The sequence below is a fragment of the Homo sapiens genome, chromosome 14 (genome assembly GCF_000001405.40).
Source record: "Homo sapiens chromosome 14, GRCh38.p14 Primary Assembly".
In the NCBI taxonomy this organism is placed as follows: Eukaryota; Metazoa; Chordata; class Mammalia; order Primates; family Hominidae; genus Homo; species Homo sapiens.
This window is the reverse complement of record NC_000014.9, coordinates 59,156,674-59,184,420: the sequence shown is the minus strand read 5'-3', so window position 1 is coordinate 59,184,420 and position 27,747 is coordinate 59,156,674. Positions and strand designations below refer to the sequence as shown.

General features: G+C 39.0%; 1 long non-coding RNA gene and 1 pseudogene across 1 annotated transcript, besides 1 other annotated feature; both read right to left on the bottom strand.

Annotated features, from left to right (window-relative positions):
* LOC107984642 (uncharacterized) lies at window positions 174-26,277 on the bottom strand. Its single transcript, XR_001750928.1, has 2 exons — window positions 26,237-26,277; window positions 174-758 (listed from the first exon to the last, which is right to left on the bottom strand). It is a non-coding gene; the product is annotated as an uncharacterized LOC107984642 (long non-coding RNA).
* On the bottom strand, window positions 2,277-2,850 carry PPIAP5 (peptidylprolyl isomerase A pseudogene 5; annotated as a pseudogene).
* Window positions 13,552-13,721: an enhancer, noted in NCBI's record as "experimental_34575 CRE fragment used in MPRA reporter constructs". NCBI's record gives its function as "activates a minimal promoter by MPRAs in K562 erythroleukemia cells, with activity observed for the non-introgressed 14:59637503 variant allele {active_cell/tissue: K562}" and the evidence as "EXISTENCE:reporter gene assay evidence [ECO:0000049][PMID:34662402]".
* Window positions 26,278-27,747: the final 1,470 nt, after the last annotated feature.

Below are 27,747 nucleotides of genomic sequence, written 5' to 3'. Positions count from 1 at the left end.
CTTCTCAAAAAGGAGAAAGTGTGAATCTGGAAGCCACCCCAAGAGGTGTCAGTTAAAGCTGGTAAATCTATCAGGATCTTAATGGTAAAACTTGGTTCTTCCTGAGGGAGAGGACTTTGTAGCATTCTGAGCCAACTATTCAGTTTAGTCACTAAAAAGGCACTTGGAGGAGATTCATTTCACTGTGTTTAATTGAGAGCTCAGAAAAACTGAAAAAGCGGCATCGGAACAGAACAAGGGAGATGGAGTCATACAGAAACGTGAGAATGGCAACAATACTAAGGTTAGGCACAGTAAGTGGAGGGGTGAAAATACCTCCAGCCACCCAAAACTCTCTCCAGACCAGTCTTATTTGAACAGCTCCTCGGAGTTCAGAAAGAGAAACTCTCCTTTGACATATTTTAGCCGGTCTTCCTGTATAAGCTTCTTCGTAACTGGCTTACTCTTAGTCCATCTGTGAGACCTGTGCTGTTCAATTCTGTAGTCACTGGCCTCATGTGGCTATTTAAATTTCAATTAATTAAAATTGATGAAATTTTAAAACTCAATTACTCAGTCACAGTAGCCACATTTCAAGTGCTCAAGAGCTGTGTGAGGCCAGTGGCTACCATACAGGACATCACAGATACAGAGTATTCCCATTACTTCTTCAGAAAGTTCTGTTGGACAGCACTGCTACACATTTGTTCACTAATGACTGTTTAGATTCTTTCATGCTGAAATCCACCTTCTTTTCTTCTTCTTCCCCAAGTCAAATTCTGAAGAGAGAGAAAATGAAGAGACAAAGAGAAAGGATATATAATTGTTCTAGTTCACCAACTGAAGCTAGAACATATAATAAATCACTGGCCATCACGAAAAAGACAGCCCAACTAATGCTTAAATTCATTTGTCAGCAGGAAAATATAAATTAAGACTATAATGGGATACCACTACATACCCATCACATTGGTTAAAATTAAAAGGACCAACTATACTAAGCATTGCCAAAGATAAGAAACAAATCTTACACTGCTAGTGAAACTGTAAACTGGTAAAACTGCTTTGGAAAAATCTTTATTAGTATTTGCTAAGCATGAGCATACACATCCTTTATGGCTGAGCAATTTCACTGCTAGCAATATACCTAACAGAGTTGTGTATATGTGTTCACCAAAAGTTACCTATTCAAATGTTCATAGTTATGCTATTCATATATTCATACATGTATTCATATAGCCTAGGGTTGCCATACAATATTTGGGATATACTTACACTAAAAATATTTATTGTTTGTCTGAAATTCAAATTTAAGGAGACATTAGGTATTTTTATTTGCTAAATCTGGCAACTCCATGATAGCCCCAAACTAAAATCAACACAGTTGCTCATCAACGGTACAGTGGATAAATAGATTGTGGCATAGGCACATAATACTATATCGCAGGGGTTGGCAAACTTTTTTCTGTAAGGGGCCAGATAGTAAATATTTTAGGCTTTGAGGGCCATATGATCTCTGTTACAGTTACTCAGTGCTGCCATTGTAGCATGAAAGCAGTCGTAGACATAAAGGAATGAGTATGGCTGTGTTCCAATAAAGCTTTATTTACAAAACAGTCAGCTGGCCTGTAAGCCTGTAAGCCATAGTTTGCCAACCCGTGCTATCTGGCTATGAGAATTAACAAGCTATGTCTACGTGTGAAAATAGGAGGAACCGCACCAAAAAACACTGAGTAAAAAGAGTATATACTGTATGATTCCACTTATGTAACATTTTTTTAAAGAGGTAAAGCCATTGATAGTGTTAGAAGACAGAGTAACAGTTACCTTTAGGGGATAGTAATAGAAGAGAACATGAGAGGTCTCTGGGATGCTGGTATTTTTTATCTGGGTGCTGTTTATGTGGCTACTTTATTTTGTGAAAATTTATCATGCTGTACACTTAAGATTTGTGTCCACTTATGTATATACATATTAAAATAAAATATTTATATGAATTAAATACTAGGCCAAATTATCTCAAGATCATTCCCATAAGAAATTGTTTTATGTATTCTGGTACCCAAGTTTTTTAATATATTTTTCTAATTATAATGGTTATTCATGTCTTTTGTAAAGAATTTAGAAAATATTGCTACTTAAGGCCATAAAAATCACCCATGAGCCAACAAACGAGGGAGAAATATTAACATTTCTCCCTCCACTCCCCACCATCTTCCCTCTCATTGGATTTTTTTACATCATTAGCATTTTGAGTGCTATGTGATATTTTATTTTGGGAAGATAACCATTTGTTCTTGTTATTTATTTTTTATTTCATAATTATAAACTTAACTCTGTAATCCAGCTAGACTTAGAGAATAAGGAAAATATGGAACCCAAAGAATTGCAACAAGAGCACAAAGATAATGGACATTGCAAACAGATGGGATGGAGGGATACTCTCTTGAGCTACAGAAAGAACAGTGTGGTGGCTAAGATAAAACACAAGCCAAATTTATTAGAGTTGTCCACAGTTAGCAATGGCGATCTTCTTGTTGGTCTTGCCATTTCTGGACCCAAAGCACTCTGTGCCTTCCAAGATATTCCTTCTGTCTTTACCTTGCCAAAAAACCACATGCTTGCCATCCAACCACTCAGGCCCAGCTGTGCAGATGATAGACTGGAACTGTTGATGTTGGGTTCAGAATTTGCCATGGACAAGATGCCAGGACCTGTATGTGTCAGGATGAAGTTCTCATCCTCAAATTTCTCCCCGTAGATGGACTTGTGTCAGTACCACTATGGCATATGAAGTCACCACCCTGGCATAAAACCCCTGGAATAATTCTGTGAAAGCAGGAATACTTCTTTTCTCTCCAGTGGTCAAAGATCTAGGGGGTTAGGACTCCAGCATATGAATCAACATATGAATTGGGTGTGGGGGAATACAGTTCAACCCATAATAGTCAGAATACAAAAGTTGTCTGCTATCTCTGGAACCGTCTGCAAACAGCTCAAGGAAGGAGATGTGGCCCCAGGGCTCGCCATCCACTGTGACGTGGAAGAACAATGTGGCTCTATAGCATATGTTAGGTGTATTGGTTTGCTAGGGCTGCTGTAACAAAGTACCACAGAAATGTATTGTCTCACAGTTCTGGGGGCTACAAGTCCAAAATCAAGCCCTGTCTGTAGGGTTGGTTCCTTCTGAGGGCTGTAGGGGAAGGATGTGTTCCAGGCCTCTCTCCTTGGCTTGTAGATGGCCATCTACTTTCTATTATCCTCCTTCTATGCATGTCTATCTCTGTGACCAAATTTACCCTTTTTATAAAGATACCAGTCATATTGGATTAAGACCCACCCTGGCCAGGGGCAGTGGTCCATGCCTGTAGTCCCAGTGCTTTGGGAGGCCGAGGCGGGAGAATTGCTTGAGTTCAGAAGTTCAAGACTAGCCTGGGCAACATAGCAAGACCCCGTCTCTACAAAAAATACAAAAATTAGTCACGTTTGGTGGTCATGCTTGTGGTCCCAGCTATTTGGGAGACGGAGGTGGGAGGATCACTTGAGCCTGGGAGGTTGAGGCTGCAGGGAGCTGAGATCATGCCACTGCACTCCAGCCTGGGTGATGCAGTAAACCCCGTCTCAAGAAAAAACCAAACCAAACCAAACCAAATCAAAAAAACAGCAAAAGACCCACCCTAATGACCTCACTTTAATTTGACTGCCTCTGCAAAGACCCTTTTTCCAAATAAAGTCACACTCTAAGATCCTGGGGATTAAGACTTCAGCATATGAGTCAACATATGAATTGAGTGTGGGGGAATACAATTCAACCCATAATACTCAGTAAACACAAATAAGGGAAAACTGACTTTCTAGGTCTCAGCACCAGTGTTTTGCATGTCATAGTCACATAGATGTTAAAGCTGTTGAACATCTGATTAGGAAATATAGATAGGATCAAAAAACTGAATATAGCAACCTGAAACTTTTCAAAAATAATGGAAATAAAAAACAGAGGGTGTTTCCTGAGTTATGTGGAAGCCATGGTGCTGTTTTGGGGTGTGAAGGCTGAGGTCTTGCCTCTAGGTATCCAGCCCTGTCACTCTTGATCAGGAATTCTCAGATGAAGACTCTGCCGACCTTCCATTGGTAAAAATTCCCTGGTCATACATTTTAGACAAACCATCCCAAGTTAGCTTTCAAAATATCCCCTATTGAGGGTGTCATACAATTTTCATTTTCTTTTTCTCTTTAAAGGTCAAATCTCTGCATGGGCTCTTTAACCCTAAAATGGGCAGTCCATGTGTGGCAAAACCTTGTCTACAAGTAAAAGATGGGCTGAGTGGACAGAAAGAATTCTGTTTACTCTTTTGGTTTCTGTAACTTTCTTTGCCGGGAGTTATCCTGGCACACGTGTTCTGTTTCGTGGCAGAAATATTACAGCGTGTAGGATTTATTTAAGAGGCTTCTTTCACAGCAGGTTGTGCTAGCACTTAGACATTGGATTTTAAGATTAGGGATGACTTTAGTCCTGTATTACATGAGAACCTTGTGATGTGGAATTTCTCATGGAAAGCCACACTTCAGTACAATATGTCATGGCATATTATCTTTGAGAGTATTTTCTCTTCACCAAACTGTGATTGTAACCTTTTCTCTCGGGTTGTCTGTGCCCTCTCCCTGTGTCTCAAGCTCCTAAAATAATATTTTGGGTTGTCAGAAGACTAACCACCCAGTTAAAGGGGAAAGGGAGATATTGGAATGCTTCTTTCTGGCTTTGCTTTCTTGCGAGTGACAGGTTTTCTTCTCTGGGATTTATGTTATTGTTTTAGAAAATTATACTCATTTAAATCTAAACATAGTTAACGCAAGCAAAATATAACCCCATTACTTTTCACACACGTGTAACAGTGATTCTGAATAACAGGGTCAACTCCCTCTTGACTTAGGCATGTAAGTTAACTATGCTTGAAGCTACACTACCTCTGGCTACAAGCACGCTAGAATTTGCAAGTTGAGCAGCTTTGAGTAAGGTCAATGCTAGGATGGGAATCTCTAACAAAAACCCAGACGTATCAGAGATGAACATAGGATTTTAAGTGTTTGATTGTGTCCCAATTCACTTGTGGCAGATCCTTACAGCCATCATTTCAGAAAGCCTTGTCACAAGGCACATCCCTACTTAACGTTCAGGTGAAGAGTTCCCTGCTCAAGGTAGATGCACATCGGTGGTATGCTGGGAACCCACAGCCCTGCCTCACAAAACCCATTGTCAAATTTGGGAAATTTTGTGAGCCAATTGTTAAACACAGCTGATATTAAAAATTAAATTGTATAAACATAATTATATTATATTGAAAACAAAGGTAATAAATACTCTAAGGTCATCACTTGTTAATTGTTACTCATTTTACTATTATTTGTGCTCTTGTGGTCCCTCTGAATCTGAGTGCTGGAAGTACTGTCATGATGTGTTACTGTACATCTCTCCCCAACCTCACATTCAGTGATGTCACACTGGTAGCAAGACATCAGTCGTAATGGGAGTATTTCCAACAAAGAAATCTGCAGATGCTACAAATTAGGGCTTCCCTCACAGATCCAGTTGTTAAATGCTTACTGGCATCCCCATCTCCTTGTATTTGTTTTTTTGTTGTTATTTAAATAATTTCAACTTTTATTTTGGATGCAGGGGGTACAGGTGCAGGCTTGTTACATTTGTAATAGAAGAGAATAACTGCTATGCAATGCTCTGCATTTTTCCCTTGTGATTTCATTTTGCTGTTGGGTTCTAGAAATGGAGATGCTAAGCATGTGTCACTGTACTCAACTTGGGCAGAAGTAAGGGTGATATTGTATCATGAGCTGAGAAGAGCCCAGTTCCTTAGTGGGTTCAAGAGCTGAGCATTTTCCCTCAAACAGGAAAGAGGCATTTGGTGATAGGTTTCACAGTGGGTAGTGGTTTTGAACGAGGAAGAAAAGGAAGTCAGCCTGGGACTGCTGTAGGTATCAGATGGAACACAGAGAAAATTCCCAGATGGCTGCACTAGCACTGAGGCTGCCTGACCACACAGGACCCCACATACTATCCATAAAAACATTTTCATGAATCTGCAAAATAATGATGAAAATAATCTTAAAAAGACAATGTAGAGAATTTTTTATGAAATGAAATGTTTTTATATAAAGGACTATCTTTATGCTGGGATCATAGGTTAATTATGTCAAGAGTTATAAACACTACTGTATTAGAAGTCTGAGGCAATTAAGAGGATGCAAATTATATACAGCCATGTGCCACATAATGATAGACCACCTATATGATGGTCCCATAAGATTCAAATACCATACTTTATATGACGGTCCATATATGGTGATCACATAAGATTATAATACCATCCCATAAGATTATAATACTGTACCTTCTCTGTTTAGATGTGTTTAGATACACACATACTGTTGTATTACAATTGCCTGTGGTATTCAGTACCATAACATGCTGCACAGCAGAGTCACGTGCTCCCAATGCCTAGAAGCAACAGGCTATACCATATAGCCTAGGTGTGTAGTGGGCGAAATCATCTAGGTTTTTATAAGTACACTCCATGATGTTCACACAATGAAATCGCCTAATGATGTATTTCTCAGGACATATCTTGTCGTTAAACGATACATGACTATAGATGGGTTGTTTACATCTTAAGAATTATTTTGTCCTAAAAGTCTGTTTTGTCCCCATTTCCCCCACTTGCATTAGGGAATATCTCTTTTTTCTTAAAAAAAAAAAAAAAAGATCAGTGATCAAGTTTCCAGGCTAGACAACAAAAGCAAATGCATCCTAGAAAAGAGTTGAGTCATAGCATTGATCTTGTTTGCCTGAGGTCTGAATGGTTGGGGAAGGGAGAAGTCCTTGCAGGAATGAGAGGCGTGAGGGAGGAAACAGCATATATTATCCTTCTTCTAAGCCAATGGATGGTGCCCTAGGAAAACTGGAACCAGTTGGAGTTTGTCCTCAACATTCCTCTCACCTCCCTTTATGGCTTGCTCTCAGTAGCTGGTATGCCTTCTCACAAGGCCCTCATTCCCTCCTGGCACTCTGCATTCTCCACCATGGCACCTTGCAGGTCTGTCTGAATTCCTAAAGTGCTACAAATTCCAAAAATTACTTGCTCCCTTCTCCTCGCAGTCAGCCCATCCATTTATTTTTCCAGCACAGTATCTCAGGTGTTATTGAACAGATGTACACAATTACGTGAAGGACTGATGGCCCCTACATTCACAGAATTATTTTTATTTTTAGGAATCTTATAATTCAGATTATCTCCAATTGGCAGTATATTATGAAATTTAAAAAACACACACACAAGACAGAGTAAGAGTTTGGGAGCAAAGAATATTGGAATAGGGAGGAACAGGGCAGGTCCCACAGAGAGGCACATTGTTAATGAATTGCTTAATCCCTCAAAATGTGTTTATGATTTTCAAAAACTCCTCCCTTTGACCCACAGATTTTCCTGAACTGGCAAAAGCTGGATTTTAGCTAATCCTTGTTTTGATAATTGCTCACTGGTACAAGCAGCCCCAGAAAAACAAATGTCTCAAGATTAAACATTACAATCCTCTAAACTTTTTCAGATTCATACTTGAAAACCTTCACATTTCCCATAAGGGGTTCTTATGGGAATGGTGACGCCTCCAGCTATAAACGGAGGGTGGTGTCAGGTGAACTCTGCCTCTGTGTGTGTGTGTGACTGCACATGTGCACATATATGTGCTGGGGTATGTTGCAGATGTATGGGTACATGCGCAAGCTATTTATCATTTTATAAGAAGCGCTCAATATGTAATTAAACACATAGAGTCACAGTGGGTTCTAGCTTTCCCCAGTCTGGAAGATACGTCTTAGCTCTAAAATCCATACTCACATCTGAAATTCCTTCTGTCCAGCTATTACCTTCCTAGATCAAGTTCTTCCCTCTATGATTACTGAATGTGTATTCTATTTATAATTCTAATCTCATTGCTTCTTTTTTTCTAGTTAAATATATTCTGGCTGGCGTGGTGGCTCATGCCTGTAATCCCAGCATTTTAAAAGGCTGAGGCACGTGGATTACCTGAGGTCAGGAGTTCGAGACCAGCCTGGCTAACATGGTGAAACCCCGTTTCTATTAAAAATACAAAAAATTAGCCGGGTGCAGTGGTGCCTGCCTGTAATCCCAGCTACTTGGGAGGCTGAGGCAGGAGAATCGCTTGAACCCGGGAGGCAGAGGTTGCAGTGAGCCAAGATTGCACCATTGCACTCCAGCTTGGGCAACAAGAGTGAAACTCTTGTCTCAAATAGATATACATATATATATGTACATATATGTATATATATGTACATATATGTATATATATGTATAGATATATCATATATATTATTATATATATAAGATATATATAAGATATATATAATACATATTATATATAATAATGTTATATATACATATTCATATATATATACACATATATTCTTATTCCCCAAGTTTTCTACAAAACAGGTGTCTTTTGGTGCTTGAGCTGCCTTGAGCGCTATTGTTCGGTGTTAACCAGAATTCTAGTACCATCTGTAGATCAGCATTTACTCATTAGTAATAAATTCTCATCAACAAGCAATAATTCTTCGTCTACAAATGTGAACACTAATGAAAAACCACAAATACTGATGAGCAACCATCTGGTGGGACCAATAGAAGAGAGTGTGCACTGATGGTGATCATTGTGGTTCGTCTCTGCTGTATGGCAGATCTTTATTTTACAGGCATAGTGGGTGAGCAGCCATGCAACGAGTGCATAGAGTGCAACATGTTCCCCAATCTTGAGGAACTGAGAGACTGAAAACTAAAAATAAGAGTGCATCTCTCATTTCACCACAGAAAACTTCAGCAGAGAAAAGGAGGGGAATCTTTTAGCAACTTCAGTGCAAGTCAGACAGAGACTTTTTCAAAAGCAAACCATGTTTCTGTTTGGGCTAGGTTAAATGGCAATGGAGTGGCCACTGTCTATTATATTTTTTGCTAGGCAGCACCTGCTTACTTTTCAATCGAGAGGATTGCTGTCAGAAATATAATACAAGCCGCCACATGTGTACTTCAAGATTCTCTAGTAGTCATGTTTAAAAAGTACAAAGAAACAGAAGAAATCTATTTTAATAATATATTTAAACAGATACATAACAATATTACTTCAACACACAATCAATTTTAAAATAATGAAATCATTTACACTTTTTTTTTTTACTAAGTCTTCAACATCAGTTTGTTTTTTATACTTGTAGCACGTATCAGTTCAGACTAGCCACATTTCAAGTGCCCAATAACTTTATGTGGCCAGTGGGTACCAGAGGGAGCAATGCAAGTCTAGAACATTCCACCCCAGAGGGTGCTCCGTGTGTACCTCTGCTCACATTTACTGAGGATGGAGCACTTCACTTTCTTGTTCTATCACCACCTCCTATAGCCAGAAATTGGCCGCAGGCAGGAAAGGGATAGTGAAAACCTTTTTTTGTTTGTTTGTTTTTTGAGATGGAGTTTCACTCTCGTTGCCCAGGCTGGAGTGTAATGGCGCGATCTTGGCTCACTACAACCTCGGCCTCCCAGGTTCAAGCGATTCTCCTGTCTCAGCCTCCCTAGTAGCTGGGATTACAGGCGCATACTACCATGACTGGCTAATTTTTGTATTTTTAGTAGAGACGGGGTTTCATCATATTAATCAGGCTGGTCTCGAACTCCTGACCTCAGGTGATCCACCTGCCTCGGCCTCCCAAAGTTCTGGGGTTACAGGTGTGAGCCACCATGCCCAGCCGGGAAAACCATTTAAAACGTCTTCATAGAGGCCGTTTAGCCATGCTTGTTATCATCTTAAGGTGCATTAAGACTGAAGAGGGTCCTTTGTCAGAAGCAGACTTTCTTTATGATGGATCAGAGGCATTCTCTGCATTCTAGGGAGTTTGATCCATGTCCTAGCATGCTCATCACCCATTTGATGGGCCTAGGCCTGGCGTTTCACACAGCATTTCAAATTTTAGTGTGCATAGGAATCTGTGTGTGCCAGGACCTAGCACATCCTGAGAGTCAGGCCCCATGTGAAGCTTTATTTTTAACAAGCACTCTAGGTCATTCTGGGGAAGGAGGTCTGGCTCTCTGTCATTTAGAAATAACTGGTGAGGACTAGAACTCAGGTTCCTATACCTGGAACTTGTTGCTCTGTGTTGTCAGCTGTCTCATATGAGGAGGTAGCACAACAAATCACTTGCATTTTAGTAGGAAATTTTGTCTCAGATTATTTTTGCTCATCAGAAAGTTCCATTTGGCAACATGAAATTCTGTGTCTCCATGGGAAAAGCCGTTGCTAGACAGGTTTTTAAAATGATAATGAAAGGAATTTACAGAAGCTAAATTAAAACACTGAATATCACCTAGGGTGATACTAGGTTTAATATCGACTTCTCTTGTTTCCCTATTCTCGATAGACTGTTTATTTCTTTGATTAACTTTATTACTTAATTAGTGAGGCTCTCTTCAGAGAAGCCCTTGAAATGTGGCTAGTCTGAACTATGTGCTGCAAGTATATGCATAAAGGAAGTTACCCACGGGCACATCACTTGGAAATGTTTGCTTTTCACAAAAATGGATTCCTAACATAAATTCTGTTTGCATTTGCTTTTTTAAACTTTAATAATTACGTTAAACTTTGCTTTAGTTTTTAAATGTCTGCGTCTATATTATTTATTTATTTATTTATTTATTTTTGAGACGGAGTCTTGCTCTGTCACCAGGCTGGAGTGCAGAGGTGAAATCTCGGCTCACTGCAACTTCCGCCTCCCGGGTTCAAGCAATTCCCCTGCCTCAGCCTCCCAAGTAGCTGGGTCTACAGGCGCGCACCATCATGCCAGGCTAATTTTTTGTATTTTAGTAGAGACAGGGTTTCACCATGTTGGCCAGGCTGGTCTCCATCTCCTGACCTCACGATCTGCCGCCTCAGCCTCCCAAAGTGCTGGGATTACAGGCGTAAGCTACCGCGCCTGGCCCATTATTTTTAATAATAGTTTCTTCTATGGTATAAAATAATTTAATTAACATTCTATTTTGGAACTTTTAAGTTGTTTTAAATTTTCTTTTGTTTTCTTTTTTTTATAGAGACAGGGTCTCACTGTGTTGCCCAGACTGGTCTCGAACCCCTGGGCTCAAGCAAAAGTGCTGGGATTATAGGCATGAGCCACTGCATCTGGCCTCCTTTTCTTTTTATTAACAAGGCTGTGGTAAAGATTCTTCATATGCATCTCTGGGTGATGAGCTTGGATTTTTAATAAACAAAAATGTAGAAGCAGAAACTAACAACACTCATTTTCCACTGCCCAGAATTAATGACTGCCAATGTTTCAACACATCATTTCCCAGTCTTTTCATACATAAAAATATACAAATATTCTTCTTTTAAAACATATAAAAATATACAAATATTTTTTCTTTTTTCTTTTTTTTAAAAAAAAGGTGAGACTGTTCCAGGTAAAATGAAAATTCCCTTTGGCCACCACTTACTATTCTGGTCCCCTCCCTTCTCTCTTCAGAGGAAATAACTGAGTTGGTACATAGTGCAACCCACTTTTATACATTTATATTATATATGTATCAAAAACATTTACTAATGCCTTGTGTTTTTTACATAAGTGATGTTGTTCTGCAAATATGATCCTGCAGTTTGCTTTTCCCATTCAGAAATTTTTTTGAGATCCATTCCCATGTAGTTAGACATATATGTAATTCATTCCTTTATTGTATGACTTCATATCTCTTATTTGTCTCTTACATGTGGAAATTTAGGCTGCCCCCTGTTTTTTTCCATTACAAATAATACATGAACATGCATGTGTTTATATGCTTTTCTTTGTGAGTGTGTATATTTTTTTCTAGGTTAGACACCCAAAAGTAGAATTATTGAGTTACAGAGTATATTTAGTATTTTTTTAATAGGCAGTGTCAAATTTGTCTTCCAAAGGGAGTAAAGTCATTCCCCTTTATCTGTGGTTTCATTTTCTGTGGTTTCAGTTACCCACAGTCAACCTCAGTCTGAAAATATTAAATGGAAAATTCCAGAAATAATTCTTAAGTTTTAAATTGTGCATCGTTCTGAGTAGCATGATAAAATCTTGCACTGTCCCACTCCTTCCCACCTGAGACATGAATTGTCTCTTTGTCCAGTGTATCCATGCTGTATAGTATGTACATAGAGGAAAAAACAGTATATATAGGATTTGGTATGATCAAAGGTTTCAGGCATCCACTGAGGGTCTTGGAACGTATCCCTCACAGATAAAGGGGGACTACTGTATACCAATTTAGCTTTCAAACACCAAAATATATCTGTATTTTCAGAATCTTGCCAGTGCTTGACATTGGAAAAACTTATAATTTTTGACAGTCTTATGGATGAAAGATAGCATATTGTTTTGATTGGAGTTTCTCAGATTAGTAGTGTAGGGAAGCATCTTTTCAATCTTTGTTAGCTAAACATACACTATGTACAATTATCTGATTGTATTCTTAGAAAAAAATTCTCAACTGGTCAAAGGCTATATTTTAAGGCTTTCAGAATATAGTTGGAAATTTCCATCCCAAAATTTTGTAACCGTTTATACTGTATTTATCTTGTCAAAACCATGATAAATAATCCATTTTCCAGACTCTCACACAACTCTGGATTATTCACTTTAATCTTTGCTCATCCAACAAGTACAAAGTGTAAATTACTTTAATTTTTTCATGTCTTTGAGTACTGGCAAGGTTAAGTAGTTTTTCTATTAAAAAATACCTTCACATTTCTTCTTTTATATATATCACAGTTCATTACTTTAGCCAACTTTTATATTGGGGTATTCTTTTTCTTATTTACCCACTGTCATATAATTTATGAATATCTTTCCAGTTTGACTCCTCTTTTAACTTTGTTTTTGGAAGTTTTATTATATCTATATATTTTTAAATTTTTAGGTATTTAAATATTAATATAGTTCCATAATATTTTCTTTCTCTTTTATTTTAAAGAACTTTTATTTCTAATCTCAAAATGCATTTTTATTGTAAAAAAAATGTTAAAGGCCTCTAATCCCAGTACTTTAGGAGGCCAAGACGGGCAGATCATGAGGTCAGGAGATTGAGACCAGCCTGGCCAATATGGTGAAACCCCATCTCTACTAAAAATACAAAAATTAGCTGGGCATGGTGGCGCACACCTGTAGTCCCAGCAACTCAGGAGGCTGAGGAAGGAGAATCGCTTGAACCCGGGAGGTGGAGGTTGCAGTGAGCCGAGATTGCGCCACTACACTCCTGCCTGGTGACAGAGCAAGACTCTGTCTCAAAAAAAAGAAAGAAAGAAAGAAAGGCGTGTGTTTATTATTACATATTATCATGATACATATTGTATGTACATATATTTAGCTTTATTGAGATATATTTTGCATACCTTAAAATTCATCCACTTAAAGTGTATCATTCAGTGACTTTTAGTATATTCCTAGTTATGCAACTCTCACCACAAGCTAATTTTAGAACATTTCATCACTCCTAAAAAATACCCTATACCCCTTTAGCAGTCAGTCCTCATTGTCCATTCCCCTTAACCCCTGGCAACTACTAATTTACTTTTTTTGTCTACAGTTTTGGCTATTCTGGACATTTCACATAAATGGAAACATACAATATGTGGTCTTTGTGACTGGCTTCTTTCATTTAGCATAATGTTTTCAAGTTTCATCCATATTTTAGCATGTATCAATACTTTATCCCTTTTTATGGCTGAATAATATTCTGCTGTATGGATATACTACATTACTTTTATCCACTCATCAGTTGATGGACATTGGGGAGGTTTCTACTTTTTAACTGTTATGAACAATGCTGGAGCCAGGTGCGGTGGCTCACACTTATAATCCCAGCACTTTGGGAGGCCGAGACAGGCAGATCACCTGAGGTCAGGAGTTCGAGACCAGCCTAGACAACATAGGGAAACCCCATCTCTACTAAAAATACAAAAATTAGCGAGGCATGGTGGTGTGCACCTGTAATCCCAGCTACTCGGGAGGCTAAGGCAGGAGAATCACTTGAATCGGGGAGGCAGAGGCTGCAATGACCTGAAATTGCACCACTGCACTCCAGCTTGGGCAGCAGAGCAAGACCTGTCTCAAACAAAACAAAACAAAACAAAACAAACAAACAAACAAAAAACAATGCTGGTATAAACACTTATGTACAAGTTTGTGTGTAGACATATGTTTTCAATTCTTTTGGAGATGGAATTTCTGGGTCATATAGTCACTCTATGCTTAAGTGCCAAACTGTTTTCCAAAGTGGCTGTACCATTTTACACTCCTATCAGCAGTGTATGAGGGTTCAAATTTTTCCATATCCTCCCCAACAGTTGTTTATATTATTTTTAAATAACAATTTTTTAAATTGTATTTTTAAAATTGTAGCTATCTTAGATTGTGTGATAAGGTATCTCATTAGGGTTTTGATTTGCATTTCCCTAATGATTTAAGAAGGTTAAGCATCTTTTCTTATATTTAGTGGCCATTTGTATGTCTTTGGAGAAATGTCTATTCAAAAGTTCTTTATATATTCTGGATACAAGTCCCTTCTCAGATATATGATTTTCAAATATCTTCTCCCATTGCTTGGGTTATCTTTCACTTTCTTGATGGCATCTTTTGAAGCACAAAAATATTTAATTTTAGTGAAGTCCAATTTACCTATTTTTCTTTGGTTGCATATGCTTTTGGTGTTGTATATCTAAATCATTGCTTAACCCAAGGTATATTAGTCTGCTCTGGCTGCCACAACAAAATACTAAATACTGTGTGGCTTAAACAACAGAAATTTATTTTTTCACAGTTCTGGAGGCTAAAAGTCCAAGAACTAAAGTGCCAGCAGAATTGGTTTCTGGTAAGGCCTCTCTTTTGGACTTCTAGATGGCTACCTTCTCACATGACCTTTCCTCTGTGTGTGTGATGAGAGAGATAGCTCTCATGCCCTTTCTTCTTCTTATAAAGATGTCAGTCCTATTAGATAAGGGCACTACCTTCATGACTTCATTTAACTTTAATCACCTCCTTCAAGACCGTATCTCCAAATGTAGTCATATTGGGAATCAAGGCTTCAACATACAAAGTTGGAGGGGAACACAATTAAGTCTATAACACAAGGTAATGAAGATTTACTTCATGGTTTCTTCTAAGAGTTTTATAGTGTTAGCTCTTACATTTAGGTCTTTGATTAATTTTTAGTTAATTTTTGAGTGTGGTGTGAGGTAGGGGTCCAACTTCATTCTTCTCCTTCATTCTTCTGAATGTGAATATTCAGTTGTCCTAGTACCATTTCTTGATAACACTATTATTTCCCCCATTGAATTGTCTTGACACCATTGTTGAAATCAATTGAATATCAAGTTAAGGAGTTCTGGGACTTTAATTTTTTTTTTTTTTTTGTAGAGACAGGATCTTGCTCTGTTGCCCAGGCTGGAGTGCTGTGGCATGATTTTGGCTCACTGCAGCCTGTAACTCCTGGGCTCAGTGATCTTCCCACCTCAGTCTCCTGAGTAGCTAGGACTACAGGTGCATACCACTATGCTCAGCTAATTTTCATTTTTTGTTTTGTTTGTACAGAAGGGGCCACACTATGCTGCCTGGGCTGGTCTTGAACTACTGGCCTCAAGCAATCCTTCTGCCTTGGCCTCCCAAAGTGCTGGAATTATAGGCATGAGCCACTGTACCCTGAGGAGACTTTATAATGTTACTATAGCAATTATTGTGTTTACTTAATGTAATAGAATGTAAGCTTCCTGAATCCAGAAATTGACCATGTATGATGATGGAGGTAGAGCATAATGCCCAACATAAAATTGTACTCAATATGTGCTCAATATTTAAATATATATTATGTTTTCACTGTTAAAATGCAAATGATACCTGGGAAAGGACATAATTCTGTAACATGAAATAAGTTTCAGATTAAAAGATAACAAATTCTAGGAAAGGAGACACAGGATAGATGGGTTTGATGGATGAGAAGAAAATATCTTTAGCATTTGATTTTGCTTGGCTAAAGGAATACCTTGGCCAATTAGCCATGCACGTTCTGGTGTTGGGTCTTTGAGAGGGGCTGTGACACTAGAAAAAATACAAATTAGGATATGACAGGAAGGAGCTGAAGAATAATTTACCTAATTGACAGCCTTATCAAGGGATCATCCATTTTGGGGGAAGGCAAAAATCGGAAAGTTGTCAAAGGAGATTTGCCCTTTTCTTTCTTTCTTTCTTTCTTTCTTTCTTTCTTTCTTTCTTTCTTTCTTTCTTTCTTTCTTTCTTTCTTTCTCTTTCTTTCTTTCTTTCTTTCTTTCTTTCTTTCTTTCTTTCTTTCTCTTTCTTTCTTTCTTTTTCTTTCTGAGTGTCTGTCTGTCTTACTCTGTCACCCAGCTGAAGTGCAGTGGTGCAATCATGGCTCACTGCAGCCTTGACCTACCCAGGTTCAGGTGATCCTGCCATATCAGCCTCCCGAATAGCTGGAACTATAGGCATGCACCACCACATCCAACTAATTTTTGTATTTTTAGTAGAGTTATGTTGCCCAGGCTGGTCTTGAACTTCTGGGCTCAAGCAATCTGCCACCTCAACCTCCCAGAGTGCTAGGATTACAGGTATGAGCCACTGTGCCTGGCCTTGGCTTTTCAATTAAGATGGGATCATGAATACTTGAGAAACAACCCTTGAGTATTTACTTAATTGAAGTGAATATGATGGTTAATTGTATGTGTCAAATGGACCGGGCCAAGTACTTGGTTAAACATTATTTTGTGTGTCTGTGAAGATATGTTTGGATGAGATTAACAATTGAATTGATAGATTGAATAAAACAAATTACCCTCCCAAATGTGGATGGGCCTCATTCAATTTATTGGAGCCCTGAATAGAATAAAAGGGGGGTAAAGGCAAATTCATTCTCTTAGCCTGACTGTTTTTGAGCTAGGACATTAATCTTCTCCTACACTCAGACTGGAATATACACCATGGATTCTCCTAGTTCTTAGACCTTTGGATTCAGACTTGAACTATACCAGCAGCTCTCCTGTGTCTCTAGCTTGCAGACCACAGGCTGTGGGACTTCTCACCTCTGTAATTGTGTGAGCAAATTCCTTATAATAAATCTCTTTCTATACATATGTGTATGTGTGTATATAGCCTATTGGTTCTGTTTCTCTGGTGAGCCCTGACTAATATAGACAATAACAAGTTTAAAAATAAACATAGAGGTAATACAATTAAGAATCACAGCTCTATTGTAAGTGCAAACACTAATACAATTTTAACATACTTTATAGCTTCATTTAAGATTCAGGTATTATAAATCAAGGGAAACAAAATCCACTTGCCAAGTTCTGTTTTTCAAAATCATTTCAGCATTTCTTACCTCACTGTTAATGTGTGGTACTTTAAATTGTCTTCAGAATCAGTTGTAATCTCTTATTGGTTGACTCTTAATGAGTTGAATAAAATTTTTTAGTCTGGGCTTGGTGGCTTATGCCTGTAATCCCAGCACCTTGGGAGGCTAAGGCGGGCAGATTACGAGGTCAGGAGATCAAGACAATCCTGGCTAACACGGTGAAACCCCATCTCTGCTAAAAATACAAAAAAAAAAAAAAAATTAGCCGGGCGTGGTGGCAGGTGCCTGTAGTCCCAGCTACTCGGCAGGCTGAGGCAGGAGAATGGCGTGAACCCATGAGACAGAGCTTGCAGTGAACCGAGATGGTGCCACTGCATTCCAGCCTGGACAACAGAGCGAGACTATGTCTCAAACAAACAAACCAAAAAATTTTTGTGTTAATTTTATATTTCTTTGAAAGTCATGATTTTATCTTCTTTTCTTTCTTTCCTTCTTTCTCTCTTTCTTTTTTCCTTTCCTTTTCCTTCCTTCCTTCCTTCCATCTTTCTTTCTTTCTCTTTCTTTCTTTCTTTTTCTTTCTTTCTTTCCTTCTTTCTCTCTCTTTCTTTCTTTTTTTCTTTTTGATGGAGTTTCGCTCTTGTTGCCCAGGCTGGAGTGCAATGGCATGATCTTGGCTTGCAGCAACTTCTGCCTTCCAGGTTCAAGTGATTCTCCTGCCTCAGCCTCCCAAGTAGCTGGGATTACAGGCATGCACCACCACGCCTGGCTAATTTTATATTTTTTAGTAGAGACGGGGTTTCTCCATGTTGGTCAGGCTGTTCTCGAACTCCTGACCTCAGGTGATCCGCCTGCCTCAGCCTCCCAAAGTGCTGGGATTACAGGCATAAGCCACTGCACCCAGACGATTTTATTTTCTTTCAAAAATTATTCTTGGCCAGGTGTCGTGGCTCATGCCTATAATCTCATCACTCTGGAAGACTGAGATGGGTGGATTGTTTGACACCAGCCTAGGCAACATAGTAAGATCCCATCTCTATAAAAAATAAAAATTAGCCAGGTGTCATGATGTGTGCCTATAATCCTAGCTACTTGGGAGGCTGAGGTAGGAGGATTGCTTGAGCCTGGGAGGTGAGTGAGCCATGATTGCACCACCGTACTCCAGCCTGAGTGAGAGGGCAAGACCCTGTCTCCAATATATATACATTCTTTAACACATGCAACACTAGGAATAGAGTCTCCCTACTTTATGTCATATGATTTTTGTGCACTGACAGCACTCACAGGATGGGAAACAATAATTTTTCTAAACTGCCGAATAAAAATTCATTTTTATCTTTTCACTCTTTTCAGCACCTCCTCTTCCGAAGGGTATCATTAATTATCTCACAGTCACCTGCTTTAGGTACTGGAAATAATTCCTGTCTGTAAACCTTCAAAAGGGAAATTAAAATTTTTAACATAGTAACAGATTTCAGTTTTGTCCATCTTAAAAGTAAGATTATTTTATCCCTTAGTTTTTTTCTCTTCATGTCTCAACTCTCTTGGCTTTGCTCTTAAGATTTTAATTTCCAAAGGCTCTTTTGTTGTTGTTGTTGTTCTCTAAATTTTTTTTTTTTTTTTTTTTTTTTTTTTTTTTGAGACGGAGTCTCGCTCTGTCGCCCAGGCTGGAGTGCAGTGGCGCCATCTCGGCTCACTGCAAGCTCCGCCTCCGGGGTTCACGCCATTCTCCTGCCTCAGCCTCCTGAATAGCTGGGATTACAGGTGCCTGCCACCATGCCCGGCTAATTTTTTGTATTTTTAGTAGAGACAGTGTTTCACCGTGTTAGCCAGGATGATCTCAATCTTCCTGACTTCGTGATCCGCCCGCCTCAGCCTCCCAAAGCGCTGGGATTACAGGCATGAGCCACCGCGCCTGGCCGTTCTCTAAAATTTTTATAGCATTCTGTTCTTGTTTCATGGGTATGGTATCTTCCGTAATCTCAGTTATAATATTAATCATGATTTTTAAAGAGTTCTCTTTGCCCTATTTGTATCTCCTTAAAGTTGTTTTTTTTTTTTTTTTTGGTATGTTTTTATGTTTGGGGCTCAGTCTTTCATGTTGGGAGCTTTCCTCAGAGGGCGGCAATCACTGGGTGCTTACGTTTGAGAGCAGGGAACTGAAAGGTGCTTTAGAAGCTCTAGGTATGTTGTATTTACCTGGCACTTCTTCCCTTCCCACCCCTATCCAACCCCTTAACACACTTTCCACTCTCCCCTACTCCTAATCTGGTTGATTTGTCTTTCTCTCAAGATTCAACTCGAGCATTGACTCTTTTTGGAAAGCATTTTTGGTGTCCCACTCTGCTGTAATACTTTAATATACCCCTGTTACCACTCCACATAGATTGTGAACTGCTTGAATGTAGGGACCCAATTCTAGCTCTCCTTTGTGCCCCACTATGTATGGCATAGTCACATACATATTGCCAGTGCTCAGTAATTGTTTGTGGAGAGAATGGATGTATGAATGCTCACCTCCACCATGCACTTTATGTGCATTACCTATTTTTATCCTCACAATAACTCCATGCCATTCTGCTTTTTTCATGGTTTGTCTTCAAATGCGGAAATATGGGAAGAAAAGACAAACAACTGATAAAATGTTGAGTTAAGTGAATGTATTGATATGCAAACGAACAGCCTTTATATTGCCATGTAGGTTTAAAACAGAGATGTAGGCTGGGCGCGGTGGATCATGCCTGTAATCCCAGGACTTTGGGAGGCCGAGGTGGGCAGATCACAAGGTCAGGAGATCGAGACTATCCTGGCTAACTCAGTGAAACCCCGTCTCTACTAAAAATACAAAAATTAGTCGGGCATGGTTGTGGGTGACTGTAGTCCCAGCTACTCAGGAGGCTGAGGCAGGAGAATAGCTTGAACCTGGGAGGTGGAGCTTGCAGTGAGCCAAGATCGTTCCACTGCACTCCAGCCTGGGTGACGGAGTGAGACTCCATCTCAAAAACAAAAAACAAAACAAAACAAAACAAAAAACAGAGATATAAATAAGGGAATGAAATTGATGAGATAGAGAAAAGGCTTAATATGTACCTGGCACTGTGCTAAGTAAGCAATTTGTATACTTTACCTGTTATTTCTCAAAAAATCCATTAATTTATAGATGAGAAGTTAAGGTTCAGAGAGATTGAGTACTTTGTGCAGTTCAAACAATTATGTTTTAACATCAGATCTCTTTGGACCCCAAGCCTATGCTTGTCGGTGGATCAAGACAGGGAGGGTGTTCACTTTGGTGGGAATTTTGGTACCCTAACAGGAGGAACCCCTCTCCAGCTCACCCAAGTCCCTTGTGCCTGCACTTAGTGCCCTTATGTACTTTTTATTTATAATGTTGCTCTGCTTCTGGACCAAGGCTGTCAGAAGAGCCAGACAAGCAGCCTAAGTCACTTGTAGTGGAAACCCCTGATTTGGTTCTCTGTTTCCACCCTGGTGAATATCTGAACTGCTCAAGGCATAATGCCTTATAAATGCCAACTTTGTATTTATCAGCATGCTTCTTAGCTATAGCAATCAATAAGACATACCCTTCTTTTGCTAATGGCTACATTAAGAGGCATCTGTCCCTTTGCATTAAGGAATCACGTTATACTTGTCTGCCAATTGACCGAAATAAAGTATTTCCAGTAGCTGTATCTCTTAAAATGCTGCTGCTTTTCCTTTGGATTTGATACTAAAAATGCAGGTAAGATCAACAGAATGAGACTCCTAGTTCGCTCACCTCACCCGCTACTTACATTGGCACTGACCATGGGTCGAAACTAATAAATAAGCTTTTCTGGCATAAATGTCATGTGCAGCACTTCAGACATCTAGGAAAGTTCTAGAACTCTTTTCTACAAGCCATTTCTCTACTTAGCACTGTCAAAGAACTCATCCAAATATGTGATTGAACCCAGGAGCCCGAGGAAATTGAGCATTTGTGTTATGGATAATAATTTTTTATATTTTTTATCCCCACATCATTGGATGTAGGTCCAACTTAATTTGAGTAGGTCCAAGGCTAGACTACAGTTACGATCTTCATTAGCAAAGCAATATTGTATATTCTCCTCATCGCTGATTAATGGATTGTTTCCTTACATATATTGTAACTTTCTCTTTTTTTTTCAAGCCATTAATCATTTAACCTTACCCTCAGGCATGAGACAGGGTTTTATTTTTGTGCTTCTTAAGAGTATTCTTTAGACAGAATAAGTCATAAAAGCTCAAGTGCATTCATTCTCTTTTCAATTTGTGGATTTAATCCACCATAAAGCATTCCGACTATATAAAGAAATGAACCGTGTTAAAAGCAAGTATTATTAATGTGATACTTCCTCTGGGCACATTTGCCAACCAAAATATTAAACTTCCTTTAAAGAAATTCTTGAGAATTATTAGTTTGTCATTCAATTAAGGGTTTACATGTGTAAAAATATTCCAGCCATGATAATATGCCCTGCAATGTAATGTCAGATGTAGTTTTCCAAAAGGGATATTCAGGGGTCTATAATTTCCCATATTTTGGAGGTGGCCTAATTTTTCTCAATTAATAGAATACTAGAAAAGTGTGCTTTTAGCATTTTAGGCCAGTATTGGATACAATAGTCCATGTCCCTTTATGTTGAAAACATGAATGCCCAAATTGAATAGTTTCTATTTACCACTTTTCTGTTTGAACGTGTGGCCCACATCTGCTAGAATAATAAATGAAATACTAACTAAAATGTTTAAGCCCAAATAAAAATCACTACCCCAATTTGTTTTCTGTAAATGCTCAGAGTATTAATTCTAGCTCCCTCTCCCACCCTGTTCCCTTCCTCTTTCTTTACTTAGAACTAAACATGAAAAGTCATCTGTTCTTTTTTAGTCTAGAAATAGAAACCACCCTCCCACCCCATGCTCAGCCCAGGGAAGGTTACGGTGAGTTTGTGGCTGAGCAATGCAGGGGCTGACCCCATCTATGCTCCTGGAGGGGGATGGACAGGCACTGCCGACACAACGCAACAGCTGTTGCAGAACAGTCTCTTTCCCAGCAGAACACGGAGGGAACTGAGTCTCACTAGCTGCACTGGACATCTACATTTTAGTTTCTCCGAAAGGACAGGTGGTCCTAATACAGCCTGTCTCCAGCCCACCCTTTTCCCTTTTGTTCCTGTGAACATTGGTCTGCCCATCCCCAAGTGGTGCGTTAGTCATTCAAGGCTTTGGGGTGAAATATGATGCAAGAGGAGGAAGGGAAATCTTAGACACAGAACAAAGCCATTTGAGAGCTGTCACATCAGCCTAGGACTTTGATTTTGTGTGTTTTTGTCTTAAACACTGGTTGCTATAGCTACCGTGAGCAACACACATAAAGGAGCCAGGCAGTGGCTTTTCAGAATTGTGTAATACATTTTCTTTTTGAGCTTTTCTTGCACTGAATGTCAAGTCAAGGATACCTACTTTAATTAATGGTTAAATTGGAGTTGAAGATGAATCGTAATTAAGTACCTGACACTGATCATCTACAACCTCAGAGTAAGATTTTCAGTACTTCAGTTTTCTGCCAGATGTAGAAGTGTGCATGATACAGTTAATCAGGAAGAGTCTCGGAAACCCATTTAAAGCTTATTAACATTGATATTTATTCAGTTTTAAATACCCAGTGTCGGATTTATTCTGTTAATTTCAAGAAACAATTGGTAGGAATCACCCTTTGCTCTTCTTAAATGATTAGATAAGTATTTTTTCCATATCATTAGACATTGCAAAGGTTTAAGAGTTCTTGAACCGTGGAATCTTATGTAGAAGTTATAACGACTCTTTATAAAAGCTGAAGATCAACCTGCAACTTTCGATATTTCTCTACTTTATAATCTACTTTCTCTTTAGTGGCCTGCACACTGACTAAATAGCCATTGCAAACTCTTAATTTCCCTTTTGCTGAATTACCCTGCTCTCTGATCAGAGGCCATACTATCTGTGAAATTTTGCTTCAGAAAAGCCTGCACTGCAAAACCAAACAGTACAGAGATGTATAAAAGATCTCCTCAACCTTAACAGAGAAGCAAAAAGCAAAACATCTTCTTTGCTCCTGATGGAAATGATTACCAATTTAAGATTTCCCACAGAGAAGCCTCTCTCCATGATGCATGGAAAAATTTCCAGAACATAATCTAATAATAGCAAAATAAATAGAAATACTAAATAAATATGCCGACAAACCCATGGCTGATATCACTAATGGAAATCCAGAGTGCTGACAGTATGTGGGTTTTTCCTGTGACCCAGAGCATGTAAGAGGTATACACTCAATCTCAGTGATATCATATCGAGGTGTGGAATGTCACTGTGCTTTTCCATATGGAAAAAGTGAGGTACAGAAAAGGGATACGGCTTGTCCATGGTTATCTCGCACACAGGAGAGTTTATTACGGAGGTAAGCACCCTAGTGTTTGGCTGAGGCTTCTAATATATTGCCTGTTCTAGCACGTAAACTCTTTTTACTGTGAAGCCTTATTATGCTTTTCTTACATCTCACTGAACCTAGTGAGGTGATCAGGAAATAATTATTCTCATAATAGCTTTTAAAATGTATGCAAATAATACATATTCATGATAGAAAAAACTGAAATTATATTGTAGAAAAAAGAAAATAAAACTCAACTGTAATTCAATCACTTGCATTTTAGTGCATATCCTTTTAGCTATTTTCCTTGGCATATTCATTGTCTATATGTATATATAATATATAAACTTTTCTTTTGCAAGAATGAGACTGTACAACATAATTTTATTCTTTTCTTTTTGGCACATTTAGACTGCTAATATGTAAATATGTTAATAAATGTATTTCTACAACTTCATTTTTAATAGCTAAATAGCGACCTATTATTACACATAAATTCAGTAACTGAGTTAACCAATTCTTTAGGGGCTGTGCATTTAGTTTGTTTCTACCTTTTTTATGAAGTAGGAACACTAAAAAATACTAGAGTGAACATTTTTATAGTTAATGTTTGCAACCATGCTTAATTACAAATACATAATTATTGGTTGATTAGTATTAGTCTAATGATGTTTCCTCGGCCAGCAACTTATAGACTGCACATGACACAAAGTACATGCCTCTGAAGGATCCATATCCTACCTACCCGTGACACCATACCAATAGGTATCTGTTGAAAGCAGTTTTGAACTTTGCAGTCATTCCTACCTTGGTAATATTGGCAGGCAGGATTTTAGCACTGGGGAGAGGCGGAAAGAAGAGTTAAAAGTTCTGACTAAATAAAAAGATTTTTCATTAATGGAAGAGTTCAATTCCATTCCCTGCAGCAAATACTGAACAGGAATAGTCTCTAAATGTTCATGCGATAGAAAACACTATCTGTGTAAAGGGACAAATTGTGGGGAATAAACTGTGAAGGTCAGATTATCTTCTAAGAAGCCACATGGAGAAAGAAAACCCCTGATGAGAGAATCCCATCAACCAGTAGTAGATCAGCCTTGAAATATGAACTTTCATGGGATATCATGAATCCTTCTAGGAACTGCAAATCTCCTTGATTTTTCTGCCTGCAGTGTTTTGAAGATGTTTACAGTAAAACTGTAACCTAAGACTTGCCTTTCAGGAAAAGAGTAACTGGTAATCTGATCCTAGAAAGCTTTCTGCACTGGGCTTTTTAAATAGTAAGCGAGTAGAAGATTTTTCTCACTGTGCCCCCATAAAGGGAAAGAGATGGTAAGTAACATGCATTCAGTCACTCACTCTGGGCCAGGCACTATGGTAAACACTCTACATGCATCATTTCATTGCTTCCCTCCAACAACCTCATGAGTGCCTCATTATTATCCAGTTTTATGTAAGAGGGAAACACATTCAGAGGGATAAAAAATGTGCCTCAAGTTATAAAGCTGGTTGGTGGCAAAGACTAGATTTGAACATAGTCCTGCCAAACTGTAAATCAAATGTTTTGTTTTTCCTACCATATATACGTGTTTTAAATATCTTCCCTATAACTTTCTTGCCTAGATCTTGTTAATTCCTCTTTGACATAAAGCACATGCCTTGGCTAGCCAGGTAAAGGCAACTTTGTGAGTCTAGACCCTACTGTTTTTCATGGTAGCAGCCCTCAGAATACAGGCGCAAGGGCACCTTTGGCTTGAATAGAACTCCTCCTTCTCCAGATTCAGAGGGGGTCATAAGCCTGTGTATTTTGTAAGGGCACTTGTGTAGGAGCCTTTCAATTGGAGGCTGTTGATGGTTGTTGCTCATCTGAGGCAAGGCCTGCTGCTGTACTGGGTTTTCTTTGCTAACTTGGTAGGGACACAAGGCCCTCATGAATTATCAAACCTGAAGGGGTTATGAGAATCTCTGAATTTGTAGCCAGTCACTCAGAAGCGTGGGTATCCCAGGGACCCTTGAAGTGTGGCTGGCATCTGCAGTGAGAGTAGTCTTGTGGAGGGCTACTTTCTGTTTCTAGAAAGAAGCCTAGAGATAGCCACATGTTGAGGAAGACCCTTACAAAACTCTGATGAAAGGATTACAGAAAAATAAATATTATTTCAGTGGTTTATTTCACTAATTCAATCAAGTAATGATAACCCTAATAATAATAGTAATTAACAGCAATAGGCTGGGCAGGGTGGCTCATGCCTGTAATCCTAGTACTTTGGAAGGCTGAGGTACGAGGATTGCTTAAAGACAGGAGTTCGAGACCAGCCTGGGCAACACAGCAAGAACACATTTCTTAAAAGAAAAAAAAATAGCCATGTGCAATAGCATGTACCTGTTGTCCCAGCTACTTGGGAGGCAGAGGTGGGAGGATTGCTTGAGGCCAGGAGTTGGAGGCTGCAGTCAGCTATGATTGTGCCACTGCACTTCAGCCTGGGCAGAACAAGACCCTGTCTCTAAACAAAAATAAAAACAAAAATTTAAAGCAATAATAGCCCATAGCTTTTATTGAACTCTTACCCCATATCAGGTACTCTTTAAGCATCGTATACATATTCCAAAATCATCTGGTCTATTGCCTCCAATTTAAAGGCTCCTACACAAGTGCCCTTACAAAATACACAGGCTTATGACCCCCTCTGAATCTGAAGTGACTGGAGAAGGAGGAGTTCTATTCAAGCCAAAGGTGACCTTGTGCCTATATTCTGAGGGCTGCCACCATGAGGAAGAGTAGGCTCTGGACTCACAAAGTTGCCTTTACCTGGCTAGCCAAGGCATGTGCTTTATGTCAAAGAGGAATTAACAAGATTCAGTTCTGGCATTAACCTCCTAAAGTTGATGCAGACCCCACAAGTTGAGGGCTCAGCCCTTCACAAGACTACCCTCACTGCAGATGCCAGCCACACTTCAAGCGTCCCTGGGATACCCACACTTCTGACTGACTGGCTACAAATTCAGAGATTCTCATAACCACTTCAGGTGTGATAATTCATGAGAACAACTCACACAACTCAGAAAAGCACTACACTTAGGATTAGAGTTTCATTATAAAGAATGGAAATCAAGACTCTCTCAATGAAGACACACAGGGCAAGGTCTGGGAGGGTCTCGAATGCAGAGCTTCCATGTGTTCTCCTTCTGGGATCAGGATGTGTCACCCTCCTGGCACATCGATGTGTTGATCAACCAGGAAGATCCACTGAACTTCAGTGTCTAGAGTTTTTACTGAGGCTTCATTACATATTGAATCATTGGACACACAGCTGAACTCAATATCCAGCCCTCTCCCATCCCCAGAGATCAGGAGATTGGCTGATATCACAGGGCTTAAAGCCTCAACCATCTAATCACATGGTTGGTCTTTCTGATATCTAGTCCCCATCTTGGACCTTCTCTGTCTCATTAGCATAAACTCAGGTGTGACCCGAGGGGCTCATGAAAATAATAAAGACACTGACCACCGGGGAAATTCCAAGAATTTTAGGAGCTTCCTGCCAGGAATCCAGGACAAATTATTTATTATACAACAATACACATTATTTAATTTTCCCCTCACACCAGTTTATGAGGTAAGAATTATCTTCATTTTATAGGTAAGAAAATGAATGCTTCCAAGATGTATAGACTTAGTCAGTTAGAGATGCAGGATGTAATCAAACTCAAGTCTTCCCAGCCTCAAAGTCTACCTTCGATCCATCTTAGCCATTAAGGAATATTGCCTTACATATAAGCCCCTAATATATCTTAAGAATGCTTGTGTATGACTATGTACACACACACACACACACACACACACACACATTCTGAAGCTTGTCATCCTTAACTAATATGGGAGAGAATGCTAAC